Below are 19389 nucleotides of genomic sequence, written 5' to 3' on the forward strand. Positions count from 1 at the left end.
TTGTTAATCTCTGTATTTTTACATTTCTGTACCATTTAATTTTAGGTGTCTCTTCTAAATCACATAGCCATTTATAATTTTAAATACAATCTTATATTTTTAATTTAATAAAATTGTTCAACTCATTAATATTTATTGTGATAACTGACATTTGGTCTATTTTTTCTGTTAGTTATGCTTTATATATTTTATGAGTTCTTGCTGTTTGCTTTTTCTCACTTTTCTGTCATCAGCTACACAACGCGATTTCTTTATTCTCCTTATTCTCTAACAATGTAGAAGTTACGTATATTATTTCTTTTCGACTAATGACTATCTTTACCTTATCTTATCTTGGACCTATGTTTTTGAATTAGTGTCATGAATGAACAGAAATCCAACCATTACCATCACCTCCCCTGATTCTACCCTTAAACATACTGACCTATATGTTCTTTTCTACACTGTCTTCTTAAGTTTTAACTTTATTTGTTTTTTATTAGCTAGATTATGCAAAGTAATTTATCTAGGAAAAACTTAAATGGCACGTTTTATGAGTCTGTATTGTTCTGAACTATTCTAAAGAAATATTACATGGCATAATCTATTCTTAATTGTCCAATTTTTCCCTGTATACATATCACCTCTATTTTAATCACATTAAAATGGAGGTGAGGCAAGTAAAAGAGACTTATGTGAATTCTAAGACATAATCTTACAGTTTAAAGATATACTCGGTAGACAGGAGGAGCCAAGATGGCCGATTAGGAACAGCTCCTGTCTACAGCTCCAAGCGTGAGCGATGCAGAAGACGGGTGATTTCTGCATTTCCATCTGAGGTACCAGGTTCATATCACTAGGGAGTGCCAGACAGTGGGCGCAGGCCAGTGGGTGTGCGCACCGTGCATGAGCCAAAGCAGGTTGAGGCATTGCCTCACTTGGGAAGTGCAAGGGGACAGGGAGTTCCCTTTCTGAGTCAAAGAAAGGGGTGATAGACACACCTGGAAAATCGGGTCACTCCCACCCGAATACTGCGCTTTTCCAACCAGCTTAAAAAATGGCGCACCACGAGATTATATCCCGCACCTGGCTTGGAGGGTCCTACGCCCACGAACTCTCACTGATTGCTAGCACAGCAGTCTGAGATCAAACTGCAAGGCAGCAGCCAGGCTGGGGGAGGGGCGCCCGCCATTGCACAGGCTTGCTTAGGTAAACAAAGCAGCCAGGAAGCTAGAACTGGGTGGAGCCCACCACAACTCAAGGAGGCCTGCCTGCCTCTATAGGCTCCACCTCTGGGGGCAGGGCACAGACAAACAAAAAGACAGCAGTAACCTCTGCAGACTTAAATATCCCTGTCTGACAGCTATGAAGAAAGCAGTGGTTCTCCCAGCACGCAGCTGGAGATCTGAGAACAGGCAGACTGCCTCCTCAAGTGGGTCCCTGACCCCTGACCCCCAAGCAGCCTAACTGGGAGGCACCCCCCAGCAAGGGCACACTGACACCTCACACTGCAGGGTATTCCAACAGACCTGCAGCTGAGGGTCCTTTTAGAAGGAAAACTAACAAACAGAAAGGATATCCACACCAAAAACCCATCTGTACATCACCATCATCAAACACCAAAAGTAGATAAAACCGCAAAGATGGGGAAAAAACAGAACAGAAAAACTGGAAACTCTAAAAAGCAGAGCGCCTCTCCTCCTCCAAAGGAACGCAGTTCCTCACCAGCAATGGAACAAAGCTGGATGGAGAATGACTTTGACGAGCTGAGAGAAGAAGGCTTCAGATGATCAAATTACTCTGAGCTACAGGAGGACATTCAAACCAAAGGCAAAGAAGTGGAAAACTTTGAAAAAATTTTAGAAGAATGTATAACTAGAATAACCAATACAGAGAAGTGCTTAAAGGAGTTGATGGAGCTGAAAACCAAGGCTCGAGAACTACGTGAAGAATGCAGAAGCCTCAGGAGCCGATGCGATCAACTGGAAGAAAGGGTATCAGCAATGGAAGATGAAATGAATGAAATGAAGTGAGAAGGGAAGTTTAGAGAAAAAAGAATAAGAAGAAATGAGCAAAGCCTCCAAGAAATATGGGACTATGTGAAAAGACCAAATCTATGTCTGATTGGTGTACCTGAAAGTGATGGGGAGAATGGAACCAAGTTGGAAAACACTCTGCAGGATATTATCCAGGAGAACTTCCCCAATCTAGCAAGGCAGGCCAACGTTCAGATTCAGGAAATACAGAGAACGCCACAAAGATACTCCTCGAGAAGAGCAACTCCAAGACACATAATTATCAGATTCACCAAAGTTGAAATGAAGGAAAAAATATTAAGGGCAGCCAGAGAGAAAGGTCGGGTTACCCTCAAAGGGAAGCCCATCAGACTAACAGCGGATCTCTCGGCAGAAACCCTACAAGCCAGAAGAGAGTGGGGGCCAATATTCAACATTCTTAAAGAAAAGAATTTTCAACCCAGAATTTCATATCCAGCCAAACTAAGCTTCATAAGTGAAGGAGAAATAAAATACTTTAAAGACAAGCAAATGCTGAGAGATTTTGTCACCACCAGGTCTGCCCTAAAAGAGCTCCTGAAGGAAGCGCTAAACATGGAAAGGAACAACCAGTACCAGCCGCTGCAAAATCATGCCAAAATGTAAAGACCATCGAGACTAGGAAGAAACTGCATCAACTAACGAGCAAAATCACCAGCTAACATCATAATGACAGGATCAAATTCACACATAACAATATTAACTTTAAATGTAAATGGACTAAATGCTCCAATTAAAAGACACAGACTGGCAAATTGGATAAAGAGTCAAGACCCATCAGTGTGCTGTATTCAGGAAACCCATCTCACATGCAGAGACACACATAGGCTCAAAATAAAAGGATGGAGGAAGATCTACCAAGCAAATGGAAAACAAAAAAAGGCAGGGATTGCAATCCTACTCTCTGATAAAACAGACTTTAAACCAACAAAGATCAAAAGAGACAAAGAAGGCCATGACATAATGGTAAAGGGATCAATTCAACAAGAAGAGCTAACTATCCTAAATATTTATGCACCCAATACAGGAGCACCCAGATTCATAAAGCAAGTCCTGAGTGACCTACAAAGAGACTTAGACTCCCACACAATAATAATGGGAGATTTTAACACCCCACTGTCAACATTAGACAGATCAACGAGACAGAAAGTTAACAAGGATACCCAGGCATTAAACTCAGCTCTGCACCAAGCGGACCTAATAGACATCTACAGAACTCTCCACCCCAAATCAACAGAATATACATTTTTTTCAGCACCACACCACACCTATTCCAAAACTGACCACATAGTTGGAAGTAAAGCTCTCCTCAGCAAATGTAAAAGAACAGAGATTATAACAAACTATCTCTCAGACCACAGTGCAATGAAACTAGAACTCAGGATTAAGAAACTCACTCAAAACCACTCAACTACATGGAAACTGAACAACCTGCTCCTGAATGACTACTGGGTACATAATGAAATGAAGGCAGAAATAAAGATGTTCTTTGAAACCAACGAGAAAAAAGACACAACATACCAGAATCTCTGGGACGCATTCAAAGCAGTGTGTAGAGGGAAATTTATAGCACTAAATGCCCACAAGAGAAAGCAGGAAAGATCCAAAATTGACACCCTAACATCACAATTAAAAGAACTAGAAAAGCAAGAGCAAACACATTCAAAAGCTAGCAGAAGGCAAGAAATAACTAAAATCAGAGCAGAACTGAAGGAAATAGAGACACCAAAAACCCTTCAAAAAATTAATGAATCCAGGAGCCGGTTTTTTGAAAGGATCAACAAAATTGATAGATCGCTAGCAAGACTAATAAAGAAAAAAAGAGAGAAGAATCAAATAGACGCAATAAAAAATGATAAAGGGGATATCACCACCGATCCCACAGAAATACAAACTACCATCAGAGAATACTACAAACACCTCTATGCAAATAAACTAGAAAATTTAGAAGAAATGGATAAATTCCTTGACACATACATTCTCCCAAGACTAAAACAGGAAGAAGTTGAATCTCTGAAAAGACCAATAACAGGATCTGAAATTGTGGCAATAATCAATAGTTTACCAACCAAAAAGAGTCCAGGACCAGATGGATTCACAGCCGAATTCTACCAGAGTTACAAGAAGGAACTGGTACCATTCCTTCTGAAACTATTCCAATCAATAGAAAAAGAGGGAATCCTCCCTAACACATTTTATGAGGCCAGCATCATTCTGATACCAAAGCCGGGCAGACACATAACCAAAAAAGAGAATTTTAGACCAATATCCTTGATGAACATTGATGCAAAAATCCTCAATAAAATACTGGCAAACCGAATCCAGCAGCACATCAAAAAGCTTATCCACCATGATCAAGTGGGCTTCATCCCTGGGATGCAAGGCTGGTTCAATATACGCAAATCAATAAATGTAATCCAGCATATAAACAGAGCCAAAGACAAAAACCACATGATTATCTCAATAGATGCAGAAAAGGCCTTTGACAAAATTCAACAACGCTTCATGCTAAAAGCTCTCAATAAATTAGGTATTGATGGGACGTATTTCAAAATAATAAGAGCTATCTATGACAAACCCACAGCCAATATCATACTGAATGGGCAAAAACTGGAAGCATTCCCTTTGAAAACTGGCACAAGACAGGGATGCCCTCTCTCACCACTCCTATTCAACATAGTGTTGGAAGTTCTGGCCAGGGCAATGAGGCAGGAGAAGGAAATAAAGGGTATTCAATTAGGAAAAGAGGAAGTCAAATTGTCCCTGTTTGCAGATGACATGATTGTATATCTAGAAAACCCCATTGTCTCAGCCCAAAATCTCCTTAAGCTGATAAGCAACTTCAGCAAAGTCTCAGGATACAAAATCAATGTACAAAAATCACAAGCATTCTTATACACCAATAACAGACAAACAGAGAGCCAAATCATGAGTGAACTCCCATTCACAATTGCTTCAAAGAGAATAAAATACCTAGGAATCCAACTTACAAGGGACATGAAGGACCTCTTTAAGGAGAACTACAAACCACTGCTCAAGGAAATAAAAGAGGATACAAACAAATGGAAGAACATTCCATGCTCATGGGTAGGAAGAATCAATATCGTGAAAATGGCCATACTGCCCAAGGTAATTTATAGATTCAATGTCATCCCCATCAAGCTACCAATGACTTTCTTCACAGAATTGGAAAAAACTACTTTAAAGTTCATATGGAACCAAAAAAGAGCCCACATCGCCAAGTCAATCCTAAGCCAAAAGAACAAAGCTGGAGGCATCACACTACCTGACTTCAAACTATACTACAAGGCTACAGTCACCAAAACAGCATGGTACTGGTACCAAAACAGAGATATAGATCAATGGAACAGAACAGAGCCCTCAGAAATAATGCCGCATATCTACAACTATCTGATCTTTGACAAACCTGAGAAAAACAAGCAATGGGGAAAGGATTCCCTATTTAATAAATGGTGCTGGGAATACTGGCTAGCCATATGTAGAAAGCTGAAACTGGATCCTTTCCTTACACCTTATACAAAAATCAATTCAAGATGGATTAAAGACTTAAATGTTAGACCTAAAACCATAAAAACCCTAGAAGAAAACCTAGGCATTACCATTCAGGACATAGGCATGGGCAAGGACTTCATGTCTAAAACACCAAAAGCAATGGCAACAAAAGACAAGATTGGCAAATGGGATCTAATTAAACTAAAGAGCTTCTGCACAGCAAAAGAAACTACCATCAGAGTGAACAGGCAACCTACAAAATGGGAGAAAATTTTTGCAACCTACTCATCTGACAAAGGGCTAATATCCAGAATCTACAATGAACTCAAACAAATTTACAAGAAAAAAACAAACAACCCCATCAAAAAGTGGGCGAAGGACATGAACAGACACTTCTCAAAAGAAGACATTCATGCAGCCAAAAAACACATGAAAAAATGCTCATCATCACTGGCCATCAGAGAAATGCAAATCAAAACCAGAATGAGATACCATCTCACACCAGTTAGAATGGCAATCATTCAAAAGTCAGGAAACAACAGGTGCTGGAGAGGATGTGGAGAAATAGGAACACTTTTACACTGTTGGTGGGACTGTAAACTAGTTCAACCATGTGGAAGTCAGTGTGGCGATTCCTCAGGGATCTAGAACTAGAAATACCATTTGACCCAGCCATCCCATTACTGGGTATATACCCAAAGGACTATAAATCATGCTGCTATAAAGACACATGCACACGTATGTTTATTGCGGCATTATTCACAATAGCAAAGATTTGGAACCAACCCAAATGTCCACCAATGATAGACTGGATTTATAAAATGTGGCACATATACACCATGGAATACTATGCAGCCATAGAAAATGATGAGTTCATGTCCTTTGTAGGGACATGGATGAAATTGGAAATCATCATTCTCAGTAAACTATTGCAAGAACAAAAAACCAAACACCGCATATTCTCACTCATAGGTGGGAATTGAACAATGAGATCACATGGACACAGGAAGGGGAATATCACACTCTGGGGACTGTGGTGGGGTGGGGGGAGGGGGGAGGAATAGCATTGGGAGATACGCCTAATGCTAGATGACGAGTTAGTGGGTGCAGCGCACCAGCATGGCACATGTATACATATGTAACTAACCTGCACAATGTGCACGTGTACCCTAAAACTTAAAGTATAATTAAAAAAAAAAAAAAGAAAAAAAAAAAGAATCAGCACGTCAGGCCAAAAAAAAAAATAAGTAAAAGATATACTATAAAGATATACTATACTAATTTTTGATATTAATAAACTTATTAGGAACATTTAGACATATAAAGTCAAAAGGGAATATCATTACCAACCACTGTTATAGCCCAGCATTAAAAAAAAATTATAATTAAAGCCTTCATAAATTTTTAAAGTCAAAGTTCAACTAAATCTTGCATTTCTTACAATAGAACCAAAGATTTGAGTTGATTTCTTGTTTACGTGTTAATCCCAAGGATTTTTCTTTTTAGCTGGAATATACAAAGCCTTATATGGCATTTCAACTGCTGGAAATACAGATGGATCAAACTACCTAAACTCTAAACTAAGCAGCTAAGAGATGTGTTTGTATGTTGGGTAGCTAGTAGCGGAGAGAGTATATTTCTTCTTATGTTACAGTGATGAGCTATTTGCATTAACTGTAGTTACATATGCATCTGAGGGATGGAGCACTCCACACGTAAGGAATTCAAATGATCTATGGTCTTTTTTCCCCTAATGTAGCACTCTTTTCCTTGACATTAGGTAATCTTTATTAAATTCAGCAACATCTCTTAACAGGATTAATGATTTAAAAAAAGCAACTCAAATAATTGATGTGTTTCTTTTCAACATAAATAAGACATACATCTTTAAATCATTCAATGGCTTGTAAACACCTTCCAGGAACAAGTCCAAGCACGCCATATAACACCCGTTTCCATCTTTGCCTACATTCCTATCTTTTCACTTTACACTCAAGTTACACTAAAATTCTCTCCATCTTTGAAATCACCAATCTTGCTTTCTTTCTTCCTCCTCCATAGCTTCCTCTTCTAGGACTGCTTTTATCCTCTTTCCACCCCTTGAATCTGAACAACTCTTTGTCATTTAAGAATCAAATTTGAAAACTGCCTCCTCCTAAGAGCTTGTTCTGACCATCTTAATACCAGCAAAATTTAGGAGGTACTCTTATGTCCTACAATAGCATGCTATGCTTCTCTAGTTTATGGCACTTATGATAACAACTTATAATGATCTGTTTACTTGTCCGCCTCCCTCAATAGACTCTATTTTTTTTTTTGATAAGGGGGACTGTGTCTCATTTACCTTTGTTATTTAGTGCCTAAAATATTTAGCCATTAAAATTCTCTCCTCAAAAATATAATTCATCCCCTCAAAAACCTTAATTGACAACATTTGATGCAGGGTTGATGCTGTGATTCTCTTGAAATTTTGAACATTTTCAATTTTACTTCATTGTCATAATGAAGTGAACCTTCACTTTGAAAACATGACATGATGAAAATCAATAGAAAGTAATCTCTATGCTGGTTCTGCTAATAGTAACTCATCGTGTAAACATGAGTGATTTTATGTCCATTAAGCTTTTGATTTGTGGAATTTATATGACAAATAATTAGTCTGATATGAGTTTTTAAATTTCAACATATTTTCATATTGACACTTTATTACTGTTTAGCTCTAATCGAAAAGTGATGATTCATTTGAGAGGAGTCACATTTATGTGACAGAAGTAAAAAGTTCAGTTAATCTTGCCAAGAACTTTCCTGTCCTTTCTCATCTCCATATTGAACATCTGTGTTCTTTATCATTAAACTGCTTTTGGTCTAAAAATATTCCAAGAAAGATCTGAAGAATTTCTGTGCTTTATATATTTGGCTTTTATTTTCAGATGACAGGAATAGAGTAGATTAATTTTTTGTTCCTTGCAATACGATTTCTGTGTTGGTTTTATTTTTTAATTCCTTATCTTTAAGAACATTAACAACGGTCTGAAGAGCAAGTATTTTAGGGAATTGCGGACTCCGCCTGTGGTGGAGTGGAAAGTAGAATAGAAGAGTATCTTAGATTATGAAAATAATATGATAATAATTATCATCATAACAATACAGATATTCTGGCCAGGTATCTCAGTCTTGTGGAGCTTTTTAAAAACATAGATGACTCCATTCCCAGATCTATTGAGTTAGAAATTCAAAGCTTGGGGAACTGATATTTTTTGTTTTCTAAAATCTCCAAAGAACATTCAAATTTGCAGCTGACTTGAACACTGCAAAATATTATTTTCTATTTCATAGGACTTATAACTTACATGTTGTTTTTCCATGTTTTTCTTTTAATCTTCACAATAGCAGTGTGAGGTAAGTAAAATATGTCCCATTTCATAAACAGCTGAATCTCAGATGTGGTCAGCAATATTTGGGGACTCAAATTCAGTGTTCTGATTCCAAGCCCAAAATTTGCATCTACAAATATAAAAGTTACTTACATATGTGAAAATAGCTGAAACCCAAGTACCTGTCTTAACATTTATTTAATGCTCTGAAACTTCTTATATGAAAATTAGAAAACATTTTACTTCTTTTTGGTGTGATGTGAAGATACTGCTTAAATATTTAAGGACTTGAGATTTTTAGTAATAAAATCTGGGATACAATAGTCATTATTTTTGTAATAGTCTCTTTTCTGGTGATTAAAAGTCATTATCACCTAGTCATTACTACCAATGAGATAATTAAGACATTTCAAACAAACAATTTAAAACAAGATGTATTCCTTTCACTCCTAAATTTGAGATCATTTAAGAGTTCTTCTTGGCCGGGCGCGGTTTGGCCGGGCGCGGTGGCTCATGCCTGTAATCCCAGCACTTTGGGAGGCCGAGGCGGGTGGATCACGAGGTCAGGAGATCAGGACCATCCTGGTTAACACGGTGAAACCCCGTCTCTACTAAAAATACAAAAAATTAGCCGGGCGTGGTGGCGGGCGTCTGTAGTCCCAGCTACTTGGGAGGCTGAGGCAGGAGAATGGTGTGAACCCGGGAGGCGGAGCTTGCCAGTGAGGAGAGATTGCGCCACTGCACTCCAGCCTGGGTGACAGAGCGAGACTCTGTCTCAGAAAAAAAAAAAAAGAGTTCTTCTTTTAGTTATTTCAAGGACAAAAGTAAATGTAGAATATGTTGATTTTTTAAATTAAAATGTGATGTATTTTAATTCCGTAAACTCATATTTGGTGAACAGAATAAACACTGCCTATATAAAACATACACATTCAGCTCTCTAAAGGATGAATAGAAAAAGTATTTTTTTAAATATATGTATATATATTGTTCTCAGAGGATAGGCTGGAAGTGTGAAATATTTCAAAAATCTCCAGTGATTGGTGATCATTGAAGACAATATTTCATAGAAATAAAAATGTATTTATACTAAAACTGAAAAATATATCATTTCAATATGAGAGCCAGTTACAGAGGCAATATTTAGTGTGCTGTAATATTGAGGCAAATTTTCCCATTGCAGAATGGCTCTACAGAGGAACTCTTTACAAGTCATGGCCTGATCCTTTCACTGTTGTGTGTCAGCTTCTGTCAGGAGGAAGATGAGAAGAAGGGTTGGGCATTATTTGTAAAGTTCTCCCATTTGAAAATCTTGATAACCCAAACATTCCTGGTTTTCTCAAAATTACTTCATCCACCTATTGAAATGATCGTCTTCAGAAATGCTGAGAGTGAAATCACTCCTTTACTTCTTAGCTATTCTTTGCAATAGATACAGTGAAAGAACTATGACAGTTACTAACACCATGAATGAAAGATTTTAAACTTTTAACCTTGAGAATACACTTGATGCTAGTGTACAATTACACTCTTTTACCTTCCCTCCCACTATTCTTAGCTATCTGCTCCAACGAATACACATTTACTTTCAGAGTATAGAGACATAATATTAGCTCCTAATTTAGGGGTGACAATTACCAGATTCTGATTTCACTAAAGTACATTTTCCTAAGAAAGAAAATATTAGAATACGTTTAAATGACTTTTTTGTCTGTGAAGCTGAACCTTTTAAAAACAACTTTATTGATTGATGCACAAAAACAACTTTATTATTTGATGCACAAAAATACACATAATCAATATGTACAATTTGATGAAGTTAGATATATGTGCAGACATATGAAGCCATTACCATAATCAAGGTAACAGACATCTAAAAATTTCCTGTGTCCTTTTAGGTTTTTAGGTGGTAAGAACACTTAATATAAGACCTACTCTCTTAACAAATGTTTATGTGCACATTACAGTATTGGTAACAACTCTAAGTGCTATGTTGTATAGCAGATGTCTACAATTTTTCATGTGGTATAATCAAAACTATACCAATTGAACAACCCCCCATTTTCCCTTTCACCAGCCCCTGGGTAACCACCATTTCATTCTCTGCTTCTATGAGCCTGATTATCCAGGGTATCTCACATAAGTGGAATCATCCTGTAATTGTCCTTCTGTGACTGGCTTATTTATTTCACTTGGCATAATGTCTTCCAGAAACATCCATGTCATCACAAATATTAAGATTTCCTTCCTTTGTAAGGTCAAATAATTTTCCTTTGAATGTATATACCATGTTTTCTTTATCCATTCATTTGTCAATGGACATATGGGTTGTTTCTATATCTTGGTATGATGGTTAATATTGAGTGTAAACTTGATTGAAGTATGCAAAGTATTGTTCCTGGGTGTGTCTATGAGGGTGTTGCCAAAGGAAATTAACATTTGCGTCAGTGGACTGGGAAAGGCGGACCCACCCTCAGTCTGGGTGGGCACAATCTAATCAGGTGCCAACATGGCCAGAATAAAAGCAGGCAGAAGAATGTGGGAAGACTACACTGGTTTAGTCTTCTGGCCTTCATCTTTCTCCCCTCCTGGATGCTTCTTTCCCTCAAACATCGGACTCCAAGTTCTTCAGCTTTGGGACTCGGACTGGCTTTTTTGCTCCTCAGTGCAGACGGCCTACTGTGGGACCTCACCTTGTAATCGTGTGAGTCAATACTCCTTAATAAACTCCCCTTTATATATACATCTATCCTATTTGTTCTGTCCCTCTAGAGAACCCTAATACACACTTCAACTTCAAGGATGCTTGCATTTTTCCTAACACCTTCACTTTCATGTAACATCTGCCCACTACACTTGCCTCTATATAGATGATGTACCTTACAGTAGATAAAAAATCTGCCCTCATTATCACTCTTAAAGATTCTTGGCCATCCCTGCCCCCAACTTTGTATCAGTTGAGGAATTTGTCCTTTTTTTCTGTTATATTTTTACAAAAGTACATCTGTAAACTATTGTGGAACTGTATAGAATAGGACCATTCCAAGTACAGGCTATCCAATCTCAATTGGTCTTTTAATACTGTGTGAAATTCTTTTTTTAAAAATGTCATGTGTTGATATACATTCTCTCAAAAGCTCTAGTAACCTACCAGTCCTCTTATTTGTATTAACATAAATAATAGTTCATATTTATTGAATGCTGTTTGTGATAGGTGTTTTATAAGTATTATCTCATTTAATCCTCACAACAACCCTATGATAGATATTATTCTTCTCCTTTTCTTCATATTTACTGGTGTATAATGAGAGATATTACAAAGGCTACAGATGAAGAGATTCATAGGATGAGATATGAGGGAATAGGTACAGAGCTTCCATTCTCTACCTGGGCTCACCACCCTCCAGGAACCCCCAGGCGTTCAGCTACCCGGAAGCTCTCTGAACTTGATCCTCTTGGGTTTTTATGGATGCTTCATGATGTCAGCATTCCTTCCCCCTGGGTATGGAGCAGGACTCTCTCTGGAATGAGGGTTTTATGAACCATAATCAGAAAAGTGGGGAAGATTAGTGTCCTGCCTTGGGGCAAGTGAAAAGAGGGCAGGAGAAAGTCAGAGAGATTCTGTTTTTTGAGGCTGCCCCTAAGGTCTATGTTTGGCTGTGTCCTCACCCAAATCTCATTATAAATTGTAGCTCCCACAATTCCTACATATCATGGGAGGGACGTGGTGGGAGGTAATTGAATCACGGGGACGGGTCTTTCCTGTGCTGTTCTCATGATAGTGAATAAGTCTCAAGAGATCTGATGGTTTTATAAGGGAGAGTTTCCCTGCACAAGTTCTCTCTTTCACGCTGTCATATAAGACACACCTTTTATCTTCCACCATGTGAGGCCTCCCCAACCATGTGGAACTGTGAGTCCATTAAACCTCTTTTTCTTTATAAATTACCCAGTCTCAGGTATGTCTTTATTAGCAGTGTGAGAAGAGACTAATACACTTGGCTATTGTAGATAATGTTGCAATGAGCACAGGAGAGCAGATATTTCTTCAAGATCCTGATTTCAATCCTTTAGGATATATACACAGAAGTGGGATTGCTCAATGATATGGTAGTTCTATTTTAAATGTTTTTAAGAGCCTTCATACTGTTTTCTATAATGGTGGCATCATTTTACTTTCTCACCTATAGTGTACAAGGGTTCCAATTTGTCCACATCCTCACAAAGACTTATCTTTTTTTGTTTCATAACAGGCATCCTAAGAGATAATATTTCATTGAAGTTTTGATTTGCATTTCCCTGAACTAGTGATCTTGAGTATTCTATCTATCTATCTATCTATCTATCTATCTATCTATCTATCTATACTAGTTGACCATTTGTATGACTATTTTAAAGAAAGCATATTTTTAATCATGTTATTAGGATCTTTGCTATTAAGTTGTAGGACTTCCTTATATGTTTTGGAGATTAATCCCTTATTAGATATATGGTAAGCAAAGATTGTCTCCCACTTCTAAAGTTGCCTTTTTATTCTATTCTTTCCTTTGCGATGTAGAAATTACTTAGTTTGATGCAAGTCTACTTGTCTAATTTTTCTTTGGTCTGATTTTTCTTTTGTTGCTTGTGTTTTTGGTGTCATATCCAAGAAATCACTATCAAGCCCAATGTCATCAAGCTTTTTCTCTATATTTTCTTCTAGGGGTTTTATACTTTTGGGTCTTACATTTAAATCTCTAATCCATTTTTAGTTTATTTTTGTGTATGGTGTAAGATAAGGATTCAATTTCATTCTTTTACATGTGGATAAACAGTTTTTTCAACACCACTTATTGGAGACTGCTCTCTCCTCAATGTGTATTTTTGTTACCCTTGTCAAAAATCAATATATGCATGGGTTTATTTCTGGCTTTTCTGCTCTGTTCCATTGGTCTACATGTCTGTTTTTATGCCAATACCATACTGTTTCGATTACTGTAGCTTTGTAATACATTTTGAAAACTGGAAGGTTGATGCCTTCAGTTTTTTCTTTTGCTCAAAACTCCTGGCCGGGCGCGGTGGCTCATGCCTGTAATCCCAGCACTTTGGGAGGCCGAGGCGGGCGGATCACGAGGTCAGGAGATCGAGACCATCCTGGCTAAAACGGTGAAACCCCGTCTCTACTAAAAATACAAAAAATTAGCCGGGCGTAGTGGTGGGTGCCTGTAGTCCCAGCTACTTGGGAGGCTGAGGCAGGAGAATGGCGTGAACCCGGGAGGCGGAGCTTGCAGTGAGCCGAGATCCCGCCACTGCACTCCAGCCTGGGCGACAGAGCGAGACTCCGTCTCAAAAAAAAAAAAAAAAAAACAAAACTCCTTTGGCCCTTCAGGGTCTTCTGTGGTCCCATACAAATTTTAGCATTACTTTTCAAGTTCTGTAAATAATACCATTTGGATTTTATAGGGATTGAATTAAAATGTAGATCACTTTTGGTAGTATGGTCATTTTAACAATATTAAATCTTCTGAGCCACAAACACAGCATTTTCAATTTACTGTGTCTTCTTTAATTTCTTTCATCAATAATTTGTAGTTTTCAATGTGTATGTCTTTTACTTCCTTGATTAAGTTTATTTCTATGTTTTTTAATTCTTTTTGATGCTATTGTAAATAGGATTTTTTTCTTAATTTCTGTTGTAGCTATTTCAATGTTAGTATATGGAAACAGAACTGATTTTTGTATGTTGATTTTGTTTCCTACAAATTTACTGATTTTCTTTTTTTAGTTCTAATGGGTTTTTTTGTGGGCTCAAAAACACTTTTTTTACATATAAAATAATGTCATCTGCAAATAGAGATCATTTTACTTCTTCCTTTCCAGTTTGGATGTCTTTTGAAATATGGCTTTTAACCTAAATTCAGATGGCTAAGTAACTACATTTCTTAAAAGTATTATTCAACTAATTGGTATGCTCTGCTGACACTCCATAATTTCCTTGCAATGACAATGGCAAATTATCATAATTACAGAATTTCAAAATAGTCTTTCCTGGTTTTCCCAAATGGCTATTTTTTGGTCATTCATTCAATAATCATTCATCAAAATATATTAAGTGTAATAATACTTATTAATATAAAAATATAAAATCCATAAACAAGTAGAGATTTTTGCTTATTTTCTTCACTGATGTGCTCTGGCTCTGAGTACCAGTTTCTGAGACACTTCATATACTCACAACAAATATTTGTTGAATGAATAAATAAAGTGTATATGAGATGTCAATCTCATACAGCTAACTAAGAATTTTAAGTATGAATATGAAATAAGAAATGATCCTGAAACTCAAGAAGCCCATAGTCCTTTCTTCCCTAAATTATCTTCCTAAACTAACCTTCACATTCCTAGGAAAACTACCATCACATTATGTGACAGTACTAGAAGGGTGCGGAATTCTAGTACACAATGAGGGATAGAAAGTATCTATGTTCACTTTGACATGCCATGTTGCCCCTATATGCAGTTAAACACTTTCAGTAAATAGTTGCACTAAAATTTACTTATGCTATTTACTTTTAGAAGTTTTACTTTAATTAGGAACATAAAAATCCAGCTCCAATTGGGAAATTACAAAACGTTTCATGTGTTGCATCAGTCAGATTATTGAGGCATTTCCAGTAATGCATTTATGGTTCGTTTGCTTTTCTATGTTAATTTAACCCTTACACATTTCTTCACCATTTTCTTGTCTAATTGATTATCTGTCAAGAAGTTTGTTTTCTCGTTAATTAAAAAATATCACAGTAGTCCTCCCTTATGAGCTGTTTTATTTTCTGCAGTTTCAGTTACCCATGGTCAACAGCAGTCAGAGAATAGGTTAGCATAGTACAGTACAGTATAGTACAATAAGATATTTTGAGAGAGAGAGACCACATTCCCATATTTTTGTTACAGTATATTGTTATAATTGTTCTATTTTATTATTAGTTAACCTTTTACTGGGCCTAATTTATAAATTAAACTTTATCATAGCTGTGTTGGTATAGGAAAAATACATAGTATACACAGCATTTGGTACTATCCAGGGTTTCAGGAGTCCACTGGGGGTCTTGGAACATAGCCTTCATGAATAAGGAGAGACCATTGCATAGGAAACTATTTACTTTTTGAAAATTAGTACACTTTAACATCAAGGTATATCATTTAGCACACTTTAACATCAAGATAAATAATAAATTTGGGGATGTTTATGATTGGCTTACCAGGAAGACTGTTAACTCTTTTGGTTACATAGTAGATTACTACTATTTACTCCATGCATCAGTTGCCTAAAACAGCAAATATATCTCACAGTTGATAACAGTGATTCTGACCTGAGACATTTAATGTATTATTTAATTACAGATAGAATATTATTCTCAAGTGTTAAATTTCACATACATGTTAATGTGCAATTTATCCTATGGTGAAGTTCACTATAGAGTTTTGTTAAACTTAAAACTCTTCAAAATCATATTCTCAGCAAACCATACCTCTGAGGTGTTAAACTAATCAAATAGCATCACTACAACCTGTTCAAGACACTGAGTTATGAAAATTGTAGATTTTCTCACTTAGACTTAATAAGTATTGGACTTACAATTGATTCTTAAGATCTTCTGCACATTCAAACATTAAGCAATAAAACTGAAAATAGCACTACTTAAATATTAGTGTTTTACAATCTAAATGTTTTACAATCTAAATCAGAGAAGGAAAAAAGTTATCTTCTCTATGCTCTATTAATAAAAATTGGCTTTGCATATTGAAACACTTGAAACAGTGCTTTCAAATCAAGTGCATTTTATTTTCTGTGTGTAGGTCCGCTAAGGAGTTTCATGTTAGGGCCCATGAATGTATACATTGGCAGTATGTGCACAAACACACTGTGGTTCTTGATTTCTGGAAGAATTCAAGTACAGAGTTCCAAAATCTCCTTTATCACTCGACATACAGAACCCTCTTGTCTTGAGTTTGGGAGTTAATTTTGCTCTTTGTCCATATTGTCCACAATCTTTTGTGTAGCCTTTTGTAAATGTAAGCAAATACTGATTATTTACTTTGTGCTAGGCTTATAATCCTTTGCATCCAAGAATAGGATTGCTGACATAGTCTGCTTATAAATCTCTTTTTCTGTGTGGTACTGTGTCTGAAATGACCATATATGAACTGAAGCCCAGGTCATTCTACTTATCCGAATTTTCCAGCCTATCATTAAAAAGGATATGCTCTTCTCTGCCATTCTCCTGAAGAGTTCAGGAATCAAAAAGACACTAAATTGGAATTAACAATCAAATATTTGGAAATTTTTAAATTAGAAAGTTAACTGTATCATTTTAAACTCAAAATTTAAAAAATAATTTGATTTGATCCCTACGTCATTGGATCCCTGGAGATATTCATGTTCAGATATTCTTGTTCAGATATTCTTAATGTGTTGTTTTCCTGCCTTTTGTTCCCCATCGTATTTAATTTTTATTGTTTGGTTTTCTTCTGATATAATGGACTCTTCTGAATTGAGCTGTATAGAACACAATTTTATGTCTATGCTTTACAACTGTTCTACAAGTCTTCATTATGTGACGTTTTCTCCATCTGTTACTATTAATGAACAAAATATCTATTTCATTACTATTAATGGACAAAATATGTCAATAACAGTAGACATAAGTCTCATCCAAACTTTCAATTTCTCCCCACTTCTGACTACAAAGGCCTACCAGAACTATCACAAATTTAGATTTCCCTCAGGTATCTCGGACTCACTAATTACAGTAGAGGGTCATAGCAAGTTTCTAAAAGAATATTACCTTGATCTCTCTGAGATGACCTCTAATGTGAACCTTCCATTGAACGTTAACAGAAATCTCCATTCTACTGTGACCAAATAGCTTCTCTAAAATCCTTATTTGCAACATTTAGCAATTTTACAATGCAATTTTGCCTTTTAGAAATTACAGTTCACCACCACTCCTGTTGATATAGAAGAGATATCACCATTTCTCAGTAAGGGTGATGCTTAAGGCAGCATGCGGTAGAAATTTTAGTGTTCTCGAAGACTTGCTTTATTCGGGACCTGAAAAAAAATGCAAGGTTAGAATAATTTCATTATTAACATACTCCAAATTTTTTTCTACATTGTTTCTACATGTGCCCTCTAATTTTCTGTGGCTTCATGTAGAATTCTGGCTATCCAAAGTCTGCAATATGGATTTAAGTTTTGACTTCACCAAAGGTAATTTTTATTAAAGTATGACCTCTTATAGATTCTGCACTTTTAGAAGGAAATTTGAAATCTTACAAAGGGACTTTTATTATAAATATCTCAAATATACATATAAAGATAGATGTTAGACAGCTGGAAAGCTGAATAGGTGAAGGGAGAGATAAATAGATATATAGACAAAAATCTTCCTAATCCCACTTATATGCTCCAATTATTTCCCCAAACTAGAGAAACATAGCTCACAGAGATCAACAGTGTGTATTCCATGTATAAAAACTTGCCCAAATCTTTTCTGAATAATTACCATATAAATAAAAGCTAAAGAAGTAGTAAGTCTGCTATCATAATTATTTGATACATGCACATATTATATCATTATATAATTTGATATATTTTTATATATAATTTGATACATGCACATATATCATTCATGCACATATTATACCATTATACCATTTTAATATGTGCATATGATGCACAATTCAGGCACCATATTGTGAATATCCATCCTTTGTAATTATGTTTTACAATATGTTTTAAATAAAAATGTGATTTCTAAAATTTTCTTAGTACATGTGACTACCACTAGCAGTACAGATTTCTCATTCAACAGGCTTCCAACTTTCTTCATATTCTGCATTGAAATTATGACTAGATCAACAAAGAAGAACATCCTCAAATGTTTCAACATTCTCTGTGATACCATCAACGTTTGTTGTTTGCTTAGGAGTGAGGGATATTGCTGAATTTCTTAAAAGAAACAGTCTCACTGATACTGTAATACATGGCATGAAAACCTAGTGCTGGTTTAATTTTTCAAAATGGGTATGACTTTCCAATTTTCTCATTCTATCATCATCTAAGAATCACGTATTTATGTTAATATTGGGTGCTATTGTTGATAAGCTACTTGTAACAAATGAGTCAAGCAAAAAGGCATGAATTCTGCAGATGGTGGAATAATTCAGTGGGATAATCTGCATAAGCAGATTCATACTTTCATAGAAAACATTTTAATTTAGTGTTTGGCTTTGATCACTAGCTTACTGAACATCCCTAATTTTTTTCATCTAGTTCCCACCTTCTTTTTAATTAAAAATTGTACTGTGATTAGTGATTAATCTTTTTCCAAGCAGCAATATGATTATATTATGCTATGTTGTATGGTACAGATTTTCTATTGTTATAATTTCATTTGGATAGCTCTATGTTACCAGCTTCCTCAGTG

At 36.2% G+C, this 19389-nt stretch overlaps 1 annotated feature.

The window, feature by feature from the left end:
* Positions 1055-1634: an enhancer, noted in NCBI's record as "NANOG-H3K27ac-H3K4me1 hESC enhancer chr5:50546912-50547491 (GRCh37/hg19 assembly coordinates)". NCBI's record gives its function as "activates a minimal SCP1, AML or CMV promoter by ChIP-STARR-seq in primed H9 embryonic stem cells {active_cell/tissue: H9 hESC(primed)}" and the evidence as "EXISTENCE:reporter gene assay evidence [ECO:0000049][PMID:30033119]".

The sequence above is a fragment of the Homo sapiens genome, chromosome 5 (assembly GCF_000001405.40).
Source record: "Homo sapiens chromosome 5, GRCh38.p14 Primary Assembly".
NCBI lineage: Eukaryota > Metazoa > Chordata > Mammalia > Primates > Hominidae > Homo > Homo sapiens.